This window comes from Homo sapiens, chromosome 1 (genome assembly GCF_000001405.40).
Source record: "Homo sapiens chromosome 1, GRCh38.p14 Primary Assembly".
Lineage (NCBI taxonomy): Eukaryota > Metazoa > Chordata > Mammalia > Primates > Hominidae > Homo > Homo sapiens.
Genome location: NC_000001.11, coordinates 206923376 through 206948093, shown reverse-complemented (window position 1 = coordinate 206948093; position 24718 = coordinate 206923376). Strand labels below are relative to the sequence as shown.

Genomic DNA, 24718 nt, shown 5'->3' with positions numbered 1-24718 from the left:
CTCCAGACTGGACCCCAGGGGAGAGAAGGGAGACAAAAAGGAAGGGAACTCCATAATGAGGCTAAATTTTAAATCTGGAGTGAAGTGACTGAGAGATCACTGAATTGGGCTGAGCTTGCCTAGAAGTGACTAGGTAACTTGTTTTCTTTTATCAGTCAGATTATGGGTTTAGGGTTTGAAATTAAGCTACATCTGGAAGCCATCATCCTCATCAAACTAACACAGGAACAGAAAACCAAACACCACATGTTCTCACTCATAAATGGGAGCTGAACAATGAGAACACACGGACACAGGGAGGGGAACATTACACATCCGGGCCTGTTGGGGGGGGTGGGGGGAGGGAGAGCATTAGAACTAATAGCTAATGCATGTGGGGCTTAATACCTAGGTGGTGGGTTGACGGGTGCAGGAAACCATCATGGCACACGTTTACCTGTGTCACAAACCTGCACGTTCTGCACATGTAATCCTGGAACCTAAAACAAAATAAAAAAAGAAAATCTAAGTTTGCAAACCACAAAAAAAGAGAGAAATTAAGCTACATAAAGAAATTATGGGGTTTTTTTGCTTGCCATTGAAATCTGTGATTGTGTGTTAACACCCACAAGTGAGCCAGTGGTTAGCTAAAATAAGACCCAGGGCTCTGGCTGCCTTGTGTTTCTCCAGGGCTCTATTTCTCTATTTTTCCTTCCCCTTCTGGTGTTTGGCCTATAGGACTCTGTAGGGAGAGCCTGGGTCAGCCCTGCACAGGTAGGATGGGCAGCATTTCTGTGGGGGTTTGCAGTGAGGGGTCGGGGGGCCATACACGTGTGTGTTGGGGAGTGGGCTTCACTTTTGTCACAGGACTGCCACGATCATTTGGGGAACACCTGGGAGTCCCAACCAGGTCATGTTTTGGCATGGACTAACAGATAGGGAAGGAGGTGCTACTTCAGCTCAGCAGGTCAGCACCGTCCTTGCTATGGAGCCGAGCCCGGGTCCTAACAAGACTCTGAGGTCAGCCATGTTCAGGGGAGCCCAGAAGCAGCGAGTCTTTCATGACTCTGGGGAGTGAAACAGGAAGGGCCACAGTCCTGCCAGTTCCTGGAGCTCTGGGACTGGTAAAAGGGGCTTGGCAGGAGGTGTATAAGGGGCATTTTTGTCCAGGCTAAGTAACCTAGGGAGTCGGAGGGGATTCCAGAGCAACTGGGGATATGAGACCAAGGACTACGACAGCCACTCCTGCCACCTGTGCCCCATCAGATGATGTCAACTTCAAATCAAGCATTGGGCCAGGTATTTTAGAGCTAATACCGGGCTATATCCTCTACCTGTAGATTTGGTATTACCATCCCTCTTTTCCAGATGAAAAGAAATAGGAAGGTGACTTGCCAAAGGTCTTGCAGCTAGAAAGCGACAGAACAGCATCTTCACGCTTGACATTCTGTCCCTCATCCTGAAGCTGCAACGATGGAGGATTCCCAAGTAACAGAGTCTCCCCAAGGTCAAAGGAAACCAAATGGAGCCAGCCAGGAAGGCCAAAATGAAAGGAAAGCAAGGGATCTGTGAGAGTCACATGACCCTGGCTGGCCACGGTGCCTGTGGGAGAGTGGCCCTTTAAGAGCCCAGGTGTGGGTCAAACACTGAGCAGAGTTTCAGTTTTGGCAGCAGCGTCCAGTGCCCTGCCAGTAGCTCCTAGAGAGGCAGGGGTTACCAACTGGCCAGCAGGCTGTGTCCCTGAAGTCAGATCAACGGGAGAGAAGGAAGTGGCTAAAAGTAAGTGTTACTGCTCTGGGATCCCCAGACGGGATGCTATCTGGAAAGGGCTCGGGACGATGGCTCAGGTAACCCCCTCCATTCCCAACTCCCAGTCTCCTAGATAGTGGGGTGACAAGGACAAGGAGGCAGACTGTGTGACTGTGTGTGGCTGGGGAGTAAGCGTGCATATCGCAGTGGGACGAGTAGGGATGCACGTGTGTGGAAGCCCCCCATCCTTTTCTGAGAAATATCAGCAGGTGGGAAGGGACCTCTGTGGTCAGCATATGTAATTCTACTCTTTCAGCTTGGTCTGTGCCTGGATTTCCTAACTCCTCATAGTTGATTAACTGTGTGGCCTTAGACAAGCCACCTAACCTCTCTGATCCTCAGTTTCTTAATCTGTAAAACAAAGATAGAAATAACACCTATCATTCAGGGTCAATGTGGGTTCAAATGAGAAAACACAGGTGAAATAGCTTTGTAACCTCTAGAATGAAATAGGAATTGTTTCATATTTTTCAGTTTAGTTTAATTAATCAAGGATTTATTGAACACCAACAGACCTGGAATTAGATAGTGCGCATAAAGTATGGCACCTAGCAAGTCCTCTTCCATTCTTTGAGGTTTCCCACTTGTGGCTTTCTGGCAAAGGCATGTTCAGCTCCTTTTTTCTGGGCTTCCAAGAACCTCTGAAATCCTTTGCAATTCCACCTCGCTTTGCTCTAGCAGATTCCTGCCATGGGAGACATAAATGTGTGTCATCGCATCATCCTGCCCTTCCTAGAGGTAGAAAAAAAGAGGTCCTCACGGGATCACTGAGTGAGGTGGAGCTGAGCCCCACAGGCAGCATGATCAACTCCTGCTGTTCCTCCTGGCTCTGCAGCCAGCAGATCTCAGACATGGGCTTCCCCTCCCTTTGCCCATCCTGACAGCAGCCCAAGCCAGCAGTGGGACCGTCCGGCACAAGGGCAGCAGCGGGTCAAGCTCCATCCCTGACCCCCAGTTCCCTTTGTGCAATTGCCACAGTGCCTGGGGCCATTGAAGCTGCTCCTATTTTGTGCCATCACTTTCCCCCTTCACTAGGGGAATTATAGATCCTTTAACATCTGGAGAGGAGATGCCAATTTCAGGGGTTTAGGTAGAAGGCAGCTGTCTGGTGCCTGGACATAGGTCTTCCCAGAGCCAGATCTGGAATTCTCTCTCCATCCTTGTCCCGCCCCTGGATGTGCTAAAGTAGCAGAAAGAACACTGAGCCAGGAGTCAGGAAAGCAACTCTCTCTGCTTATCTCCTAGTGCCGCTAGACCTCTGTGGCTTTAGGTGATAAAAAATGGGGTCACACAGGCTTCCATTTAGTAAACCCACTTGCCCTGGGCTTTCACACCTTCGTCTCATTCTCCCTTGATACCAACGAGGAGGTAGGCAGGGTTGGTTTTGTGATGTCATTCCCTAGTTGAGGAAACCAAGACACCGTGAGTCTATGTGAGTGGTGTGAAGTCACCAGCAAGTTTGAACGATGAGGTTTTGGTACAGCCATTTTGATATGGTCATGAGGACATTTTGATGTCACCTAAAAAGCAAACTATCCAACTTAAAAAAAAATACCTATGCATTGTGCTCAGCAGAGACCTTCATCTATGTCTTGCCCTCTCTCTGGAGGGGCTGGGGCTGGAGTCCCAATGTCACTGGCATCGACACAGTATGGTGGAGTGGAAAGAGGCTTTGGCGTCAACATGCCTGGTTATACCCATGGTTATGTAACATATCCTACACATGGTAGGTGCTAAATAAATAGCAGCTAATATTTTCCAGGAAGAAATTTCTCTGTTGGCACCTACCTCTGGGTCCAGGTGTCTCTTCATTTTTTAATTTTTTATTTTTTTGAGATGGAATCTTGCCCTGTCACCCAGGCTGGAATGCAGTGGCGTGATCTTGGCTTACTGCAACCTCCACCTCCTGGGTTCCAGCGATTCTCCTACCTCAGCCTCCTGAGTAGCTGGGATTACAGACCCATGCCACCACACCCAGCTAACTTTTGCACTTTTAGTACAGATGGGGTTTTACCATGTTGGCCAGGCTGGTCTTGAACTCCTGACCTCATGATCCACCCACCTCAGCCTCCCAAGGTGCTGGGATTACAGGCGTGAGCCACTACGCCCGGCCCCAGGTGTCTCCTTATAAGAACTGCCTTTTCCGTGAAAGGCAGAGAGGAAAGAACTGAACAAATTCTCAGTTCGCTAAGATTGAATATCCTGCTTCTTCCTCTCTCCACTGCTTCCTCTCAATAGGAAGACCCTCTGAGGTAAAGCAGAGTGGCTAAGGGCCTATGCTCTTGATCTAGAATCCCATCTAAGTCACTTACCAACTGTGCAACCTTGGGCAAATGTCTCACCTCTCTGTGCCTCAATTATCTCACTCATGAAATGGGGTTGCCCATTTTGTCCCATCTCCTATGGTGGCTGTAAAAATGGAACACATTAACACATGTAAAGCACCTGGAAAGGACTCAGCGTACGTTCTTCTAGCCTAGCCCATAGTGCTTGTCTCCTCTCTTATCCACATGAGTCCAACCTAAGTAGCTCACTCTCCATCTCTCTATCTTCAAAGGATGTCCAGCAAGCAGACTTCTACTCTCATACCAAGTCCAGGGGACCTTTCTTCCTCTGAAAAAGAGGGAAACCTGAGATTAGATGGACAAAGGTTTGGACTCCACACCATGAGAGATGAAGTGCAGTCACTTTAACTGAACAGGAGCTAGTTAAATACATTTTATAAAAAGAAAAACTATCCTTCAGCACAGCTTACACTCCTGCCCCAATCCACAATTGTGGGGACATATGTTACACATATGTTGGGATACTAACTTAGTAAACTGAAAATGATCTAGCACATCCTAGCCTCAGCAGTGAAAAAACAACTGCTAGTTTAAGGACCAGAAAACGTGCCCTCATGCATGATATAATATCATATATATAAAACCCAATAAAGCAGGTCCCTTTGCTCATTTAAAGAGTGATAATGGGGTAGTGACCTCAAATTAGGATTCTGCTGTGGGTCTTGGGGTCGAGAATCCCTATAACCCTTAGATTTCCAACCTGTGTCATGAGGATAACAACATCTATCTCTTGGGTTGTTGTGCTGATGGATGAAGTCTTACAAGAAAAGAACCTAGCAAAGCATTTGGCACGTAGCAGGTGCCCAACATTATGTTCTTTTTCTTCCTTCCTTAAGCAAATCCTTTAAATCCAGCCCCAGCCACCCTGGGCTGGGGAGGTCTCCCGAGATTTGAATCCCCAGGTTTGGAAGAAAGTCTCTGGTTTTGAGAGGAAGGGGTCTGTAATGATTCTGAAAGCTCGAGGTCCTTTCAAATGCTACTAGAGAAATTGTGCTTCAAGTTTTAGCTTTGGGCAAAGAAGAGCTCCTGTTCCTGAAAGCAGGGGTATCCTCTCCTGCCAATCATCCCATCTAGGACTGGACTGTGTGCATCCCGCTGATGTTGCCATCTGCCCGACCTGCCTGTGCATGCCTGATGCTCTCATCCCTGGCTTGAGACCATGCAGAGGGTAATGGGTGCACACACATGTCCCCTCTCTACACAAACATGCACAGCCACCCAAACATGTCACAAAATGAGAAGTCTGGGACAGAGGTCAGGGTGGTCTTCACCTTGGAGAAGCTGGCATCTGACTCTCTGCAACCCAGGCCAAGTCCAGAGGAGGGCTGCATCCCCCAGCTCAGCTTGTGGGAAGACCACTCCTGTCTCACGCAAATATGAGGCAGCTTGCTTATCTAGAGGTGAGGACAGGAACAAGAAGCAAGGACAGCTGCTGCTGGTGTGGGTTCTTAAAAGCAGGCAGCATTTTGTCCTCCCACCTGTGACTGCACCCACCCTGTGCCAGCACAAGTAGAAAATGGTAGATCTCCCAGGACTTTGCAGCCAGCCCATCCCAACTGTTTCTGAGACTTCCTGGCCTCCTGAAAGCTGCTCCCACCTGGGAGCATCTCCCATGGCAGCTTGCAGTGCCCACGCAGGTGATGACATCCCAGCTAGTGTCCCCTGATTGCTTCCATGTTGGAGCTGACTGGTATTTGGCCAAGGCCCCACTCCAGGCATTAATCATTGACCTGGTAAGAAAGGTCTGGGGCAATTAACCGGACTCAAGAGAGCCTCAACGTTGCCATCTGACACCCATATTTGTTCCCACTCCCTCCCTTTATTCTTCCAAAGAACTGCAGAAACAAAATACCTTTATATTCACAAGGAAATAAAAGGTTCCTTGCTGGGAAATTCCCCTGCAACAAAGAAATAACCAAGATAAACAACTCTATTGCCTTTGGCTCAAGCTGGTGAAGGGAGTCTGGGAGCAGGAGCAGGGGCCAGGGTGGTGAGGGAGGTCTGGGAGATAACGCCCAGCTTCCTCCTGCTTACAGCGTCCTTATCTTTATGGGCACTCATTACTGCCCAAACTTACGATCATTTAACACTCTCTTTGTCAAGACAACTCCAAAGTTTAAAGTCTGTCAAAGTCTGGGAAAGTGGAGACTTCTGTCTCCTCCTCTAGGCTGTAGTTGGGGTCTTGATGACAGCTGCTGTCAGGCAGACCCCTGGGACCCTCAACTCTCCTCAGCCCTGGGCTGTGTCCACGGTGGAGACAAAGTCCACACAGGCTGCTCCGTCTGAGTGGTCTCATCTTCGATTCTTCATCTTTGTCTGCCAGGCCTTACCAGGCAGGATTACAAAGACCCTAACACCTAAGCTTTTAACCCCAATTCCATAACCAAGTTGCTGGGAAAACGTAAGCCTATCATTCAGCATCTCAAGACCTCAATGTTTTATCCATAAAATGGTTGTGATTATACCCGTCTGTCTTATTTCAAGGGAACATATAAAGCTCAAATGAAATAATGTAAATGGTAGTGCTTTCATAAGCAACAGGGTCTCTACAAATAACACAAATAAGCATAAGGTAAAAGCATGCTCTTGTATTTGGGGTGCGATACAGTAGTGGAGAGGTTAAGCACATGGACTTTGCAGTCAGACAAAGGTGGGCCCAAATCTTCCCCGACCCCCATTCTGTGTACCCCCACACATTTAACCCCATGTGCCCTTGAGGAAAGTACTTAACCTTGAAGCCTTCATTTCCTCCCATGTGAATGTGGATAAGGATACTAACCTCACAGGGCTGATATCAAGTCTGTATGAGATAGTACACATAAATTATTCAACACAGTGCCTGAGACAGAATAAGGGAGCAATCAATGGGGTTAGGACCATCATCATTACATTTACAGCCTTAATAATCATGACACCTCCTCTGTGGGTCTCAGTTTCCTCATCTGAACACACTGTGAAATATGTCAGCCCGCTTCACCTCCCAGGAATGTAGGGAGGGCAGCTGAAACAGAGAGATGGGGGCCACGTATTGGTAGGAACCAATCACCCAGCAAGCCATTCCTGAGATCTTACGGTGTGCCTGGGACTGTGTCTCATGGGCAGGGAAACAGAGCAAATGACACAATATCTCTATCCCAAAGGAGCTTGCAGCTTAGTTGAGAAGACAAAAGCTACTTCTAGCTATTAAGGATATACAAGTGTTGAAGGATGATAAGACTTTGAATTGTTATGGAAAAAGTGGAGGCACTGATTCATTCAACAGGATTTATGTCAGTTGCTGGAGATACAAAGCCAAATAGATGTCACAGAAACTCTAAGGTCAACTAGTCTTGGAAGACAAGGGGCGCTTCATCTCCTTGTGATTATTGTTTTTCAGCATTGCACAGGAGAAGTCGGCCTGAGTGGTGCGGCGCTCGGGACCCACCAGCAATGCTGCTCTTCGTGCTCACCTGCCTGCTGGCGGTCTTCCCAGGTGTGTCTGCCAGGCCCCAACTCTCCAAGCTCCACCCCTTCAGCCTGCCCGACTCCAGGGTTCACCTCCCTGGGGACACTAAAATCAGACTCATCCCCAGGGATGTCCCTCTCAAAGTTGGCACTTCCTTGAGGAAGAGTCATACAGAGAAGACACTGAAAGGCCACATCTGTGAGCATTGGAAGTCAGGGACAGGAATGGCACTTCCTAATCTCAAGGCCAGGGGTCTGTGAAAGATCTTCTTTGAGAATAACAAAGACCTTAACTTCAACCAAGCATCTCTATGACCCGCTGTGAAATCTGAGGGAAGTCACTTATCCTTTCTGGCTCTCAATATTTTTATCTGGGGGAAAAAAAAGAAAAGAAAATCATCTACAAAGTGCTTTTAGAAATATAAGGAAATAACACATGGCAAGTGCAAACATGTAACACCTTACGAAAGTGGTGTTATTGTTTGAAAAAACAATGGATGGCTGGATGCTGGCTCACAGCTGTAATGCCAGCACTTTGGGAGGCCAAGGAGGGTGGATTGCTTGAGGTCAGTAGCTCAAGACCAGCCTGGCCAACATGGAGAAACCTTGTCTCTACTAAATAGAAACCAAAATTAGCTAGCATGCACCTGTAGTCCCAACTACTTGGGAGGCTGAGGCATGAGAATCGCTTGAACCTGGGAAGCGGAGGTTGCAGTGAGCCGAGATCGTGCCACTGCACACCAGCCTGGGCGACAGAGAGAGACTTTGTCTCAAAACAATAAAAATATATAAAATAAAAAACAAGGGTTATCATAAATTTGTCATTCCCTTGTCCTTGAAATGGTTATCATTAATGAATAACAATTCCAATTTAATCATGATTAAAACAGTCACTTTATTTAATCTCAGCAATTTTCCAGCTGTGATATATGATAAATTATCAACACAGGGCCTACGTGTCAGGTAGAAAACCACATCTACTCATAGTGGGTTATCTGGAACAGGCTTTACCTCCCAAGGGCCTCAGAAAGCCTCTCTCTTCTGTTCCCACAGCCATCTCCACGAAGAGTCCCATATTTGGTCCCGAGGAGGTGAATAGTGTGGAAGGTAACTCAGTGTCCATCACGTGCTACTACCCACCCACCTCTGTCAACCGGCACACCCGGAAGTACTGGTGCCGGCAGGGAGCTAGAGGTGGCTGCATAACCCTCATCTCCTCGGAGGGCTACGTCTCCAGCAAATATGCAGGCAGGGCTAACCTCACCAACTTCCCGGAGAACGGCACATTTGTGGTGAACATTGCCCAGCTGAGCCAGGATGACTCCGGGCGCTACAAGTGTGGCCTGGGCATCAATAGCCGAGGCCTGTCCTTTGATGTCAGCCTGGAGGTCAGCCAGGGTAAGGATCCAAGCTCCTTGGGCTTCTGGGGGAAAGTTAGAGGGAATTCTCTAAGGTGCATGGAGGGCTTGAGGAGGAACTTCCTGACAAGGATGTGTAGCCGGGTTGGGGGTCAGAAGGCACCCCTTTCCCCAGGCAAAGACTTCTTTAACAGGAGAAGGAGACAGATAGGGCCTACTTGGGGGTGATGAGTGAACCCTTCTAGGACTTGGTGGCCTATAACATTTTAGGCTTTCTGGAGACCCCAGCTTAGAAGGGTATCAGAAGGACAAGTTTTCTGGTGTTTGCTACAGGTAGAAAGGGAAATCTGACATCAGGCTAAGGAGATAGAAAAGGTAGGGAGAGATTTACAGGGATCCTTAAATTCCTATCATTAATGCACCTTTCCATCAAGGTTTGGGCCGCCAAAAGGCTTCTTGTAAAATGCATATTTTTTTTTTAACCTGGGAACCCTTAGTCTTTTGGTATTATCAGGGTAAATTAGATTATTAGATCTTGACCAAAGACCAAGATCCTGAAAGGATGGGTTGCTAACAAGCCTATTCTAGTTGGAGAAAGAGAAAAAAAGAAAAGCTCTTTCTGACAAGGGTTTAACAATGAGGCTGTTTTAGATAGTCAAGGGCAACTCAAAAGAGAGGTCTACGGAGAAAAGAAATTCAGGGGGACTCCCAAAGACATGTCTTGCTCCTTTGGAATATGCATACTATTGTCTGTGGACTAAATGAGGAGGTCATTTAGGTGGGGATCAAGATTCAAAACCACAGAATCTTTAGAGGTGAAGAGGGCTTAGAGTTCACCCTAACCGGACACTTAGAAGAACATGCTGATGACGGGTATGCAGCCTCTGATTAAGCACTTTAGCAGAAACTCACTGCTCCCTGAGACAGCCCATTTCACATTTAGACTCTTGTAATTTTTAGAAACTTCTATTGTATGCGTTGAAATCCATCACCCTGCATTTACATTCATTCTGTTCATTTCAGCACACATTAATTTGGCCACCTACTACCCAGAGGCATTGTGCTTGTCACAGCAGAGGGGTCAAACATGAGAAAAACATGTTCCAGCCTTCAAGGAACTTCCAGTCCATGGAGAACATAATTACCCATACACCAGATTGGATGTAATAAGTGATGCAGATGTATCAAGAAAGCACAGGGCAGGGAGAGATTAGTGTTAGCTTGGGAAAGGTTTCATGGAGAAGACCGCTGTCAAGCTGGGCCTTCCGACAGCATTCCTCTGGGAAGGAGGGCATTCCAGGTTATAAGTCCACCCACACCCTAACTAGGAATAGCAAATAGTCCTATGTTGCAAGAAAGTAGAATCGTAACTTGCCTGCCCCCTACCTTGCACCCCTCATCCTGCAGGTCCTGGGCTCCTAAATGACACTAAAGTCTACACAGTGGACCTGGGCAGAACGGTGACCATCAACTGCCCTTTCAAGACTGAGAATGCTCAAAAGAGGAAGTCCTTGTACAAGCAGATAGGCCTGTACCCTGTGCTGGTCATCGACTCCAGTGGTTATGTAAATCCCAACTATACAGGAAGAATACGCCTTGATATTCAGGGTACTGGCCAGTTACTGTTCAGCGTTGTCATCAACCAACTCAGGCTCAGCGATGCTGGGCAGTATCTCTGCCAGGCTGGGGATGATTCCAATAGTAATAAGAAGAATGCTGACCTCCAAGTGCTAAAGCCCGAGCCCGAGCTGGTTTATGAAGACCTGAGGGGCTCAGTGACCTTCCACTGTGCCCTGGGCCCTGAGGTGGCAAACGTGGCCAAATTTCTGTGCCGACAGAGCAGTGGGGAAAACTGTGACGTGGTCGTCAACACCCTGGGGAAGAGGGCCCCAGCCTTTGAGGGCAGGATCCTGCTCAACCCCCAGGACAAGGATGGCTCATTCAGTGTGGTGATCACAGGCCTGAGGAAGGAGGATGCAGGGCGCTACCTGTGTGGAGCCCATTCGGATGGTCAGCTGCAGGAAGGCTCGCCTATCCAGGCCTGGCAACTCTTCGTCAATGAGGGTAAGACCCTAGAGAGGGAGGGGGAGTAGGTGGGGCAGTCTCGCAGGTGAGAGCCAAGCTCAGCTCCCTCTGAGTGTATTCATCAATAGTCATCAATCAGCCAACAGCATCCACTCAATGACCAGCCCCGAACTGGAGGCTGCGTGGGCTGCTGCACAGGACAGCAAGAAAAAGCAACCTCTGCCTGATGGCAGCTCCTAATTACTCTTCTGTTATCAAAGTCATTTTGATGGCTGTCCCTGCTTAACAAGCAAGAGGTGAGTAAAGCTCTTGATTGAGGCAGGACTTATAGACTGTGTTTCAGGGCTGTGGCAGGCTCTGCAGGGGTCCTCTGTCCCCTCCCCTGGCCCCTGAACAAGATGGGTGCCTCATCCCTCACATTCAGATGGAAAAAGGATTGGCTTATCTTGGTCTCAATGCGTTCCCAGGAGTGCCCCAGCCTCTAAATGTTTCACTGTCACATTTCGTAGGGTTATTTGTGAATTTCAGCACCATCTGGCCCACTCAGCCCTACTCCAGTGAGCCATCAGCATGGTGAAAGAATTAAATCCCAGCTCCTTCTCATCCCAGAGCACCCTGCATAGAGTTGCCCTCGTGAGAAGCAGCAAACCAGTACTTGCAGTTCCAAGTATCTGTGCTTGTGACTTTTTTTTTTTAAAGGGGCTTATATTCTCTGCATGCCATGTCCACATCCAGCTCTGGGTTTTCACCAGAATCCCCTGCATCTTTGGTCACCTGCTTCTCTCTGGATCTCAGCTTTAGCTGCCTGGAGAATGGCTATCGTCTTTGAGATGCCCCTTGGGGCCCCAACAATTAAGCTCACCTTTGCTACATACTTTATAGTTTACATCATACCATCCTAAATATATTTTCTTGATTTGGGCATAATCCATTGGGCCACTTTTGTGGAATACACTTGTTAGTGTACTAAATAGACAAAAACCTACACAGAGGGAGACTTTGTAAGAAGCCAAAGAAGAGCTGATATCCTCTCCTTCAACTCCTTCCATTCTCTGCTCAGAATAAGATGGGGGAAAAGAACAACATGTGCAGGCTGATGGGGAGACTCCAAGCCCTTGGAGTCTGGCCCTGATGGCTCCAGCTGCAGGCTCTGTGACATTAGGAAAGCTCCTTTTCATTTTCTGAAGAGGGTAAGGTGATGCGTGTAAACTTCACTCCCCATCCTGGCTGAGACCCCGGGAAGAAGGCTTCTCAGGCCACGCAAGGCTCTTCCTGCGTGGCCATCCTCCCATCCCATCTCTGTCTGTGCTTCCAGAGTCCACGATTCCCCGCAGCCCCACTGTGGTGAAGGGGGTGGCAGGAGGCTCTGTGGCCGTGCTCTGCCCCTACAACCGTAAGGAAAGCAAAAGCATCAAGTACTGGTGTCTCTGGGAAGGGGCCCAGAATGGCCGCTGCCCCCTGCTGGTGGACAGCGAGGGGTGGGTTAAGGCCCAGTACGAGGGCCGCCTCTCCCTGCTGGAGGAGCCAGGCAACGGCACCTTCACTGTCATCCTCAACCAGCTCACCAGCCGGGACGCCGGCTTCTACTGGTGTCTGACCAACGGCGATACTCTCTGGAGGACCACCGTGGAGATCAAGATTATCGAAGGTAGGAGTTGACAGGGAGGGAGAAAGCTCTAAAACCTCTCCAGCCAGCAGCAGCATCCCCAACCACTCTTCCTCCTTTTTCACCCGCCTCCACCCTGATGGGCCAGACCTCAGGAGGGAGCCCACCTATCCAGAGGTCACATTTTCATGCCTATAACACGCACCTTACACTCTGAATTACCATACATGGTACCTCCTACTACCAAGAACATGGGCTTCTTTCGCAGTGTGCAGGCATCAGCTGAAGTCAAGGATTGCAGATACCTCTTTGTATTGAGTCTAGAAGAGAAGGAAGAGTGAGGAAAGCAAACTGAAGTCCATGTGTGAAGATCTATGGTCTATGGTAGACTCTGGATTGATCATGGTGCTCATCAATAATAATTATTACCTAGGCACACAATTACATTTCTTCTGTAGTCAGAATAACATACTTATTTCTAATGCTATCCAAAGAGGATATGTAGACTGAACATGGTGGTGCATGCCTGTAATCTCAGCACCTTGGGAGGCCAAGACAGGAAGATTGCTTGAGCCCAGGAGATGGAGGCTGCAGTGAGCTATGATCGCACCACTACCCTCCAGCCTGGGTGACAGAGAGAGACCTTGTCTCAAAAACAAAAACAAAAATATATATATATATGTATATGACATGTGGACAAAGATTCCCACCAGAGTCACTTCCCTGCAGCATCTCCAAGTACCAACTTCTGTGTTTATTTCTACCTCCCTCCCTCCTCCAGGAGAACCAAACCTCAAGGTACCAGGGAATGTCACGGCTGTGCTGGGAGAGACTCTCAAGGTCCCCTGTCACTTTCCATGCAAATTCTCCTCGTACGAGAAATACTGGTGCAAGTGGAATAACACGGGCTGCCAGGCCCTGCCCAGCCAAGACGAAGGCCCCAGCAAGGCCTTCGTGAACTGTGACGAGAACAGCCGGCTTGTCTCCCTGACCCTGAACCTGGTGACCAGGGCTGATGAGGGCTGGTACTGGTGTGGAGTGAAGCAGGGCCACTTCTATGGAGAGACTGCAGCCGTCTATGTGGCAGTTGAAGAGAGGAAGGCAGCGGGTGAGTCTCCAAGGACAGGGCCTGCACCCCTCAGACCCAGAGGCAGGACTTCCTGAAGGCCCCTGCCTGAGAGCTTCTCAATCAGTGCTGGCCCCTATGTTTGGCTGTAAGAGGCTGAAAGTGGAGAGTGGGAAGGGAGGGGACATTTAGGTCCTATATAGCCTCGTTGAGCCCTTCAAAAGGGACATCTCAAATAAACATACCAACTAAGTAAAAATAGTGGGTTTGCTATTTAACCTCGGCATTAAGACAACTCCCAGCTGAATGTGGTGGCTCACACCTGTAATCCCAGCACTTTGGGAGGCCGAGGTAGGCAGATCACTTGAGGCCAGGAGTTCAACACCAGCCTGGCTGACATGGAGAAAACTCGTCTCTACTAAAAATACAAAAATTAGCTGGGCATGGTGGTGTAATCCCAGCTATTTGGGTGGCTGAGGCATGAGAATTGCTTGAACCCAAGAGGCAGGGGTTGCAGTGAACTGAGATCGTGCCACCACACTCTAGCCTAGGCAACAGAGCTAGATTCCATTTCAAAAAAAAAAAAAAGACAAGTCCCATAGTTGCCACTTCAACCCAGATTGAAGTCTCTTCTATATCTGGAAATATTCTTCTCTGTATAGAAGAATAATATGCATACATCACTGTCATATGCAATATGTTCATCCCCCTTCCCCCTGCCAAAGCTCGCCCTCGAAAGAGGGCCAGATACCTTCATTTACAAGGTCTGATCAGGAAAATTAGGAAACATCTAGTAAATTTGCATTTCAAGTCCCCTTTTAAAATTTCACATGAAATGTTTTAGCCCTAATAAGGGTATTTGTAGTCCCTCAAGAAATCCTATTGGGTCTGGACCCTGCGGATGGGACTCACTGAGGGGCCCATCGCCAGGCTACCTCCAGGGGGCAGCACTATCATACCCAGCTGGGCAGTCAGGAAGCCTGGGGCAGCGTCTCAGAGCCTTGAAAATCTCCCGGGCATAAGTGATGGGTCAGCCTTTATGCACAGCTGGTCTATGACACGAAGCCTTGAAGGTCCCCACTATACTTTTGGTAGTAATGGGGCAGAGATCATCTGTGACAGCTGAAGAAGGCCATCACAGCTGTTTCTAATGTCATCCTGGGTCCTACCCCAACAGCCTTGAGATCGAACCCTGACCCTGTGATTCCTCATGAAGTCTCCCCCAGACTCCTTCACCTCGAGGAGTAAGAGCATAGAGAAAAATCACAACCCAGGCCCACTCTTCCCTGCTGCAGGGTCCCGCGATGTCAGCCTAGCGAAGGCAGACGCTGCTCCTGATGAGAAGGTGCTAGACTCTGGTTTTCGGGAGATTGAGAACAAAGCCATTCAGGATCCCAGGCTTTTTGCAGAGGAAAAGGCGGTGGCAGATACAAGAGATCAAGCCGATGGGAGCAGAGCATCTGTGGATTCCGGCAGGTAAGGAAGGATTCAAGGCTCCCCACTCGGAGAACACCCCAGAGCCGAGCACCTGAGGCTGGGCCACCAGGTCCAAGGAGGAAAGCCCATCTGTCTCTTGAGCACTGGGGCAGCCCTTACTACCTCTGCTTATATGTGGGAGGGTCCTATGGTACCCTCTGCCCTTCTCCCATGGCTGGGGAGGTGTTTACAATTCAGTTCAATCTTCCAGGCCTAGGATGCAACAAGGCCCAGTGCGTGCCTTTGCCAGTCTGGGAAGGCTTCTTAGAAGAACAGAGCTAGGGAGCTGCATCAGCAGGGTGGGGTGGATAAACCTGGGAGGAAAAAGGACTAAGCCAACCTTGCCAGCACATCGTCGGGCCCCCAGATCTCCCTTCCAGGGATGAACTAACTTAAGCCTTCTTCCAGCTCTGAGGAACAAGGTGGAAGCTCCAGAGCGCTGGTCTCCACCCTGGTGCCCCTGGGCCTGGTGCTGGCAGTGGGAGCCGTGGCTGTGGGGGTGGCCAGAGCCCGGCACAGGAAGAACGTCGGTGAGTCCCTGGGATACTCCCTGCCTCCCACCTCCAACCCGAGCCCTCAGTCCTGAATCATCCACCCATAGAGGAAGCTGCTGTGTCTCTTCTTTTTCATGAGCTAAAACAAAGGATCCCGAGAAAGCAGGATGGGGAAAGATAAACCCACACATACTCGAAACTGAAATTCAGAGCTGCTGTCCAAATACTAACACTGGAAAATCATCTCCAATTACCCAGGATCTAGGTTCAGAGACAGGGCTGCCAGGAAGAGGAGATTGGGTTTCAGGAGACCCTGGGCTTGGACTAATTGGATAACTAATGAGCTGTGTGACATTGAGCCATCCTTATGCCATGCCTCAGTTTCCTCATGGCTCAAGTCAAGGATGATAATCAGGACCTCACGGGGCTGATGTGAGGACCAAAGGAGATGCTGTGCATTGAAAGGTCCCAGAGTGACAAAGATCAGGGATTACCAAGTCCTGATTACCCAGGAAAAGGGACTGGGGAGGAGACTCGGATCATTTCCATCCCCCTGGGTCATAGTCAGAGCTGCACCACCTCAGCTGTCCTGCAGGGCTACAGTGGATCCGCCCAGAGAGAAGCAGCCCAGCCTGGCCTTCTAGGTCCCAGCCCCTGTCCTTACACCAACTCCTCTTCCTCCCGGACAGACCGAGTTTCAATCAGAAGCTACAGGACAGACATTAGCATGTCAGACTTCGAGAACTCCAGGGAATTTGGAGCCAATGACAACATGGGAGCCTCTTCGATCACTCAGGAGACATCCCTCGGAGGAAAAGAAGGTATGACCCTCACTCAAGGGAATGCTCAGCCCCTGGGGAGAGTAAGAATTGGTCTCACATCTGGGTTGGGAAAAGGAGGCTAGTAAGGGCTAACCTACCCTCTTTCTTCACACAGAGTTTGTTGCCACCACTGAGAGCACCACAGAGACCAAAGAACCCAAGAAGGCAAAAAGGGTGAGGAGGAAGAAGGAAGCCCCACTACATGACAAAGAAATGCAGCATGAGGGGATGCAGTTAGACTTCAGAAAGAACTACCTCAACATGGGGGCCGATCCCAGAATAGGGAGGATGATATAAATAGTCCTCAGGAGTCCTCAGGACTTTTTGAGGAAGAACTATATCTTACTGGTTGTGGGATGCTGATGTGGATAAGGCCCAGGAAGGAGGTGAGCTATATGATTAGGCTGTAAAACTGCAGGAGAGAGGCAGGCCAGGAGATGAGGAAAGCAGGTGCATAAAAGATGGGAAGCTACAATGCCAAATGCTGGTGATTAAATGGATGCTCTTCCTGGGTTGGGGGACCCAAGGACCTCAGGCCACACATCCTCCCTTGAGGGTTTGCTCAGGACCAGCTTTTTGCCTGGGCCTAGGAGACATTTGCTTGCGGTGGGCAGTTTGAGGCTAGAAGCCCCTGCTCACTTCTCTTGAAGCCCCACCAGAGGCAACTCCTGCCTTGGGTGCCATATACCATCCCCTCAATCTGCCCTAGGACTCAGGGGACCAAGAAAAATAACATCTCATGCCTTTAATCCCGAGGTGAGAGTTTTTGTTGTTGTTGTTGTTGTTTTTATCATATCTACTTTTTCTTGAAACATCTCTGGCATTTAGCAAAGTTAGAACGAGTTATTCCTGGGACAGCCTTCCCCTTTAACTTTGTGGTGCCAAAAAGCTACCTGTCTGGGCTGGTGGAGAAAGAAAAACATACACCACCGTGGTTGACCCCAGCCTAGGCCACCTTGCCCGTGGACTGTGTGGGCAGCTTCCGGGGACAGGCCCGGGCAACAGAGGCGGTTCCACTCCGTGTGTCAGAAGGAGGTAGTGAGACAGAAGAAGATATTTTTAGAGGCTGCAACTTTCCATTTCTCAAAATGCGTCCTTCTTGGTGAGCATGGGGGCTGGGATGAGAACAGTGGGCCCCAAAGGCTTGTGTTGCTTGGACCAAGATCACGAATTCAGGACATTAAGCACCTCCCCTCCCCTGACTCCACCCACTGAGCCAGTGCCCCCAACACTGATGCCTCTCCTCTTGCCCCTTAGTCATCCAAGGAGGAAGCCGAGATGGCCTACAAAGACTTCCTGCTCCAGTCCAGCACCGTGGCCGCCGAGGCCCAGGACGGCCCCCAGGAAGCCTAGACGGTGTCGCCGCCTGCTCCCTGCACCCATGACAATCACCTTCAGAATCATGTCGATCCTGGGGCCCTCAGCTCCTGGGGACCCCACTCCCTGCTCTAACACCTGCCTAGGTTTTTCCTACTGTCCTCAGAGGCGTGCTGGTCCCCTCCTCAGTGACATCAAAGCCTGGCCTAATTGTTCCTATTGGGGATGAGGGTGGCATGAGGAGGTCCCACTTGCAACTTCTTTCTGTTGAGAGAACCTCAGGTACGGAGAAGAATAGAGGTCCTCATGGGTCCCTTGAAGGAAGAGGGACCAGGGTGGGAGAGCTGATTGCAGAAAGGAGAGACGTGCAGCGCCCCTCTGCACCCTTATCATGGGATGTCAACAGAATTTTTCCCTCCACTCCATCCCTCCCTCCCGTCCTTCCCCTCTTCTTCTTTCCTTCCATCAAAAGATGTATTTGAATTCATACTAGAATTCAGGTGCTTTGCTAGATGCTGTGACAGGTATGCCACCAACACTGCTCACAGCCTTTCTGAGGACACCAGTGAAAGAAGCCACAGCTCTTCTTGGCGTATTTATACTCACTGAGTCTTAACTTTTCACCAGGGGTGCTCACCTCTGCCCCTATTGGGAGAGGTCATAAAATGTCTCGAGTCCTAAGGCCTTAGGGGTCATGTATGATGAGCATACACACAGGTAATTATAAACCCACATTCTTACCATTTCACACATAAGAAAATTGAGGTTTGGAAGAGTGAAGCGTTTTTCTTTTTCTTTTTTTTTTTTGAGACGGAGTCTCTCACTGTCGCCCAGGCTGGAGTGCAGTGGCGCAATCTCGGCTCACTGCAACCTCCGCCTCCCAGGTTGACACCATTCTCCTGCCTCACCCTCCCAAGTAGCTGGGACTACAGGCGCCTGCCAGCACGCCTGGCTAATTTTTTGTATTTTTAGTAGAGACAGGGTTTCACCGTGTTAGCCAGGATGGTCTCGATCTCCTGACCTCGTGATCCGCCTGCCTCTGCCTCCCAAAGTGCTGGGATTACAGGCGTGAGCCACCGCGTCCGGCCTCTTTTTTTCTTTTCTTTTTTTTGAGACAAAGTCTCACTGTGTCACCCAGACTGGAATGCAGTGACACAATCTCGGCTCACTGAAACCTCTGCCTTCCAGGTTCAAGCTATTCTCATGCCTCAGCCTCTCAAGTAGCTGGGACTACAGATGTGGGCCACCATGTCTGGCTAATTTTTTTTTTTTTTTTTTTTTTTTGTAGAGACAGGGTTTCGCCATGTTGACGAGACTGGTCTCGAACTCCTGGCCTCAAGTGATCTGCCGCCTCAGCTTCTCAAAGTACTGGGATTATATAGGCATGAGCCACTGAGCCTGGCCCTGAAGCGTTTTTCTCAAAGGCCCTCAGTGAGATAAATTAGATTTGGCATCTCCTGTCCTGGGCCAGGGATCTCTCTACAAGAGCCCCTGCCCCTCTGTTGGAGGCACAGTTTTAGAATAAGGAGGAGGAGGGAGAAGAGAAAATGTAAAGGAGGGAGATCTTTCCCAGGCCGCACCATTTCTGTCACTCACATGGACCCAAGATAAAAGAATGGCCAAACCCTCACAACCCCTGATGTTTGAAGAGTTCCAAGTTGAAGGGAAACAAAGAAGTGTTTGATGGTGCCAGAGAGGGGCTGCTCTCCAGAAAGCTAAAATTTAATTTCTTTTTTCCTCTGAGTTCTGTACTTCAACCAGCCTACAAGCTGGCACTTGCTAACAAATCAGAAATATGACAATTAATGATTAAAGACTGTGATTGCCACCAACGAGGCTCAGACTGTATTTGCACCCAATACCTTCTGTCTCCCAGACAGCCTCTTCAGAGCTTTTCTTTTCTTTTTCTTTTCCTTTTTTTTTTTTAAGACAGGGCACTCTGTTGCCCAGGCTGGAGTGCAGTGGTGCAATCATGGCTCACTGCAGCCTCAACCTCCTGGTTTCAAGTGATCCTTCCACCTCAGCCTCCAGAGTAGCTTGGACTACAGGCGTCCACCACCACACTGGCTAACTTTTTGTATTTTTTTGTAGAGACAGAATTTCGCCATGTTGCCTATGCAGGTGTTGAATTCCTGGGCTCAACTGATCCTCCCACCTCTGCCTCCCAGAGTGCTGGGATCACAGATGTGAGCCACTGCATCTGGCTGCCTTTTGCTTTGGTCCCAATTTTAGGCACCCTGGGACCCCCTTGTCTGTTAAGATCATTCCTAGGTTCTGGTGCTGAACCATGTCATATCCTCTAAGGGCTGCCCAAGCTGTCTGTTGGCAGCTAGCCCCCCATCTCACCCCTAGACTCTTCCACAGGGCTTCTGTGTGTGGAGAGTTCTCTCTGCAAGAGAGTTCTCCCCAGTCTGCCATCCTGCCTGATGTGAACCTTTGCTTCCACCCAGGCCTTAAACATAATGCTGTGGATGCTATGAGCTTCCCAAGCCTACCTTTTCCTGGGACTCAGACTTCAGGCCTCCTTTGGTGTTCCCTCCAGCCCCACTAACTGCAGTACTCCAGTCTCAGTTCCCAGGCCCTGACCTGGGTCAGAGTCTTGGGCTTCTATCCAGCCAGAAGAGGGGGCATCAGAAATGTTTTTTTCTTTCTTCTGTGATGGGGATGCATACCTTCTGGAATGACAGCAAATCGTTCCAGGAGGATCAAAATGACAGGTGTGTCAGAAACTACCACTGTCTTACCCTTCCAGGAAGCTGTTCTCTGACTCACCAAAGGGCCATGTTTATGGTAGAGGATTAAGATGCAACTTCTGTACGCATTGCAATAACCAGCGAGCCAGTCCTGAACTCGTGTAGCCTATCCCAGCCCTTTGAAGCAAAGGTCAAGAAATGTCACTAAAGCCAAAAGCGATCTTATATTATTCCTAAGTGATATTGTCAGTAAGGCTCAAAGTCCATCTGCTCCCCGTGTAGCACAAGAAACCCTTTTAAATAAGGAAGCTAGTTCATAGGTTCCAGTGGACGTGAGTTTGGAGAGGATATGATTCAGCTTAGTATAGGGGAGTGACCATAAACTGCAGGATTGATGATGATAAACCAATTAGCAACGGTCAGTGGCCCCGAGCATTCAAGGAACTGTTTAAACATTTGATGACAAGGAAATCTTTCCCAAGTTCTTGAATTATCTTAATGTTTATTCTTTTTTAAAAGTCCAATATGTAAAGACAGGACTATTATTAAGGCCCAACAGGACTATTATGAAGGCCCAACTATTATTAATGCTCAACCACTGCTGGGCATTATTAAGGCCAAACAGTGGTTAGGAATTTTTTTTTTTTTTTTTTTTTTTTTTTTTTTTTTTTTTTTTTGGTAGAGACAGGGTCTTGTTTGTTGCCCAGGCTGGTCTGGAACTCCTGGCCTCAAGCAATCCTTCTGCCTCTGCCTCCCAAAGCATGGGGACGACAGGCGTGAGCCACTGCACCCAGCCAGGAACTTGTTTATAGCAATTGATTTTGTTTTGTAAAGCTAAAAAATAGATCTCTGATTTAGACTTTTCCAAAACTCAAGACAGAACATCTCTCCTAAGAACATTAAACAGCAGCGAGAGGAACTGACTGTGCTATGGTCTATGAAACCGGTCCCCCAGGCAGAGAAACAAGTAGAGTTTCCCACCCCATCCCTCCCAGCTTTCCTAAAATAATTATCTCTACTAAGGAGTCTGCGCAACAAAAATAAGAGATCATCTCAAAAAGGCTACATGTCTAAGTGGACAGTGGACATGCTGAGAGGCAAGCTGTGAGACTGAGACCAAAGGTCCCAGCAGGCTGTGGAGCAAGGCAGGCATGGAGAGAGGATCATCGGTATAGGAGCCAAGCAGCTCTGGAGTGTCTCTTCCAAGGCTGATTCTTAAAAGGGCAGCCAAGCCACTCTCCCTAGAGCCAAAAATCTTTGTCCTAGATACAGGGACATGAATATCCTAAAATCCAGGTTGTTGCTGTTATGTCACATTGAAGTTGATCCAAAAGTCCTGCATATTTGGAGTTTTAACCTCAGAACTCCAATAGGAATATGGCCATAGTCAGGAAAGAAATCTTAGTCATCAAAATCCTACCATTTATTATCTTTAAAAAAGTCACATGGCTGGGTGCGGTGGCTCACACCTGTAATCCCAGCACTTTGGGAAGCCGAGGCGGGCAGATCACAAGGTCAGGAGATCGAGACCATCCTGGCCAACATGGTGAAACCCCGTCTCTACTAAAAATACAAAAATTAGCTGGGCGTGGTGGTGGGCGCCTGTAATCCCAGCTACTTGGGAGGCTGAGGCAGGAGAATTGCCTGAACGCAGGAGGCGGAGGTTGCAGTGAGCCGAGATCGCGCCACTGCACTCCAGCTTGGGGACAAAGTGAGACTCTGCCAAAAAAAAAAAAAAAGTCACAAATGGGCTTATTGTTGTAAAGGTAAATGCTCCAAGGCCCTGCTGCTGTGGAGTGGCTTGCTCTGGGACAGGCAAGCCTGGGGTCCTGCGGTGCTTGGAAGGACGGGACAACAGGGTCCCTGAGTCAGGTACCTCTACCTGGGGAGGGGGCTTGTTCTTGGTGAGTCCACCAGACAAGGAGATTCTTGTGGTCTGTCATTGCAGAGAACAGTGTTGGGTCATGGAGAGGACCACCTGAGGATGGAGGCCCTCAGTTTGGGAAGGCCCAGAAAATGGCCCTTGTAACCCGGCCATGCGGAGGTCAAAGCAGAGAAAAGCAATAACCAAGCAGAACCCATGACAACAAGCTCCACCCAGTGGCGGTGGCTCATCTCCACTGCACTCTGACCACATCGCAGGCTGTGTGCTGAGTCCCTTGTAACACTTGCCTCATGTGATCCTCACAACTGCCTTACGAGAAACGTTCTTCTTAGCCCATCTGTAACATAGGGAGGATGGCAGAGCCTAAGCTAAAAGGTCATCATACAGAGCGAATGAACACACCTCAAGGACTTCACTTTCCATTGGATCTGGCATTATTTATTCCCTCCACCCGCTGTCGGGGGGCTGTGAATGTTTTCCATCAGGTTCACCCCTTCTGGACCCTAGAGGGTGTTGGGCCATTGGCTCCCTTGCCCCATGGTGTGCTCCAGCCTGGCAGACACTCCCCTGGGAGTAAGAGTGCCAGGGCACCATGGTAGCCCTGTGAGTCAGAAAGGAGAAATCGAGCTTAGACGAGAAAAAAAGAAAGAAGAAAATAAGGATGTAAGAATTGTAAAGTTCACAATTTCACCAGCAGTCAGTCTTCCCTTGGGCCCCAACCCCCATGACCCAGGGGCAACAGCTAAAGGTAAATGGAACAAGCCCAGTTCTGGGGATTTTGATCCCCTCAAACTCCCGACATTCGCCGCCTGCCCAGCCGTCCTCACACCCCTAACTCTTAAGTCTTGTAACCTAATGGGATGTTTTCAGGGTTTCACTTGGGCCACACGTGATGCAAAAAGCTCTCCTGCCCACTCCCATCCCACACACCTTCCGCCCTGCCCGGCAGGCCCCAGCCTCAGCCCAGCCAAACCCTGATCTTCACAGACATGCACACACACTCACACTCCACAGAGCACACACACAACCACACACCACACACACACACTCAACCACACACCACACACTCATAACCACACACCACACACTCACACACTCTACAGAGCACACACACACTCATGGACGCACACCACACACACACAACCACACACCACACACACACTCAACCACACACACACTAGACAGAGCATAGAGTGCGCACACACACACTCATAGCCACACACCACGCAGTGACACACACTCATAACTACATACCACACACAACACATAGCACACACACATAGCCACACACCACACATTCACACACACTCATAGCCACACACCACACATTCACACACTCCACAGAGCACACACACACTCATGGACACACATCACACACACAATCACACACACATAACCACACACCACACACACTAGACAGAGCACACACACTCATAGCCACACACCACACACACACTCCACAGAGCACACACACACTCATAGCCACACACCACACACACACTCCACAGTGCACACACACACTCATAGCCACACGCCACACACTCACACACTCTACAGAGCACACACACACTCATGGACACACACCACACACACAATCACACACACATAACCACACACCACACACACTAGACAGAGAACACACACACTCATAACCACACACCACACACTCACACACTCAACCACTCACACACTAGACACAGCATAGAGTGTGCACACACACACTCATAGCCACACACCACGCAGTGACACACACTCATAACTACATACCACACACAACACATAGCACACACACATAGCCGCACACCACACATTCACACACACACATACATCACACAGCCACGCATCCTACATTCACACACATACCACACAGCACATACACACTCATAGCCACACATCATACATTCACACAGACACATTACACATAACACACTCACACTCTCATAGCCACACACTACATGTTCACACTCACTACACACACTCACACTGTAGCCACACACCACACACACACCACACACGTATCACACAACATACATTGCACCCTTACACACACCTCAGACACACACCACACATACTTCACACGCTCAAACATCAGAGTCATACAACACACATCATACACTCACACATTCATTCATACATATATTCATACTCACACACTCTTGCCCCCACACACATCACGTTCATTCACTCATATTCCCCTTCTCTGTCTCTCCAAGACAGCCCCAGGCCTCAAGCCCAGTGCATGGTGGAGCCCAGCTGTGTGACAGCTCTGGGGCATTGGGAAGAGCCCGCTAAGTAGGGAAGGGTGGGGCTAATCCCAGCTGGGAGCTCTGGCACTAAGGAGAGGCCCGAGGCTGCCCTCTGCCATCTTGGCCCATTTCAGGGCTGGAGGACATCACAACC

At 49.2% G+C, this 24718-nt stretch overlaps 1 protein-coding gene across 2 annotated transcripts, besides 7 other annotated features; it reads left to right on the top strand.

Annotated features, from left to right (window-relative positions):
• Window positions 1628-19572, top strand: PIGR (polymeric immunoglobulin receptor). 2 transcript variants are annotated; one of them, NM_002644.4, is made up of 11 exons: window positions 1628-1758; window positions 7510-7605; window positions 8631-8975; window positions 10343-10999; window positions 12276-12608; window positions 13348-13674; window positions 14928-15108; window positions 15517-15638; window positions 16292-16423; window positions 16539-16597; window positions 17681-19572. In NM_002644.4, the coding sequence occupies exons 2-11, from the start codon at window positions 7563-7565 to the stop codon at window positions 17774-17776; spliced, it is 2295 nt and encodes a 764-aa protein (NP_002635.2). In that variant the 5' UTR covers window positions 1628-1758; window positions 7510-7562; the 3' UTR covers window positions 17777-19572. The 2 variants fall into 2 exon arrangements, with proteins under 2 accessions (NP_002635.2, XP_011507931.1); XM_011509629.2 differs by having other exon boundaries at window positions 1628-1826.
• Window positions 17063-17632: an enhancer, noted in NCBI's record as "active region_2436". NCBI's record gives its function as "activates an Ori minimal core promoter by ATAC-STARR-seq in GM12878 lymphoblastoid cells {active_cell/tissue: GM12878}" and the evidence as "EXISTENCE:reporter gene assay evidence [ECO:0000049][PMID:35858748]".
• Window positions 17063-17972: a biological region, named in NCBI's record as "H3K4me1 hESC enhancer GRCh37_chr1:207103683-207104183".
• Window positions 17256-17756: an enhancer, noted in NCBI's record as "H3K4me1 hESC enhancer chr1:207103683-207104183 (GRCh37/hg19 assembly coordinates)". NCBI's record gives its function as "activates a minimal SCP1, AML or CMV promoter by ChIP-STARR-seq in primed H9 embryonic stem cells {active_cell/tissue: H9 hESC(primed)}" and the evidence as "EXISTENCE:reporter gene assay evidence [ECO:0000049][PMID:30033119]".
• Window positions 17683-17972: an enhancer, noted in NCBI's record as "active region_2435". NCBI's record gives its function as "activates an Ori minimal core promoter by ATAC-STARR-seq in GM12878 lymphoblastoid cells {active_cell/tissue: GM12878}" and the evidence as "EXISTENCE:reporter gene assay evidence [ECO:0000049][PMID:35858748]".
• Window positions 18443-18492: an enhancer, noted in NCBI's record as "active region_2434". NCBI's record gives its function as "activates an Ori minimal core promoter by ATAC-STARR-seq in GM12878 lymphoblastoid cells {active_cell/tissue: GM12878}" and the evidence as "EXISTENCE:reporter gene assay evidence [ECO:0000049][PMID:35858748]".
• Window positions 22610-23059: an enhancer, noted in NCBI's record as "active region_2433". NCBI's record gives its function as "activates an Ori minimal core promoter by ATAC-STARR-seq in GM12878 lymphoblastoid cells {active_cell/tissue: GM12878}" and the evidence as "EXISTENCE:reporter gene assay evidence [ECO:0000049][PMID:35858748]".
• Window positions 24633-24712: an enhancer, noted in NCBI's record as "active region_2432". NCBI's record gives its function as "activates an Ori minimal core promoter by ATAC-STARR-seq in GM12878 lymphoblastoid cells {active_cell/tissue: GM12878}" and the evidence as "EXISTENCE:reporter gene assay evidence [ECO:0000049][PMID:35858748]".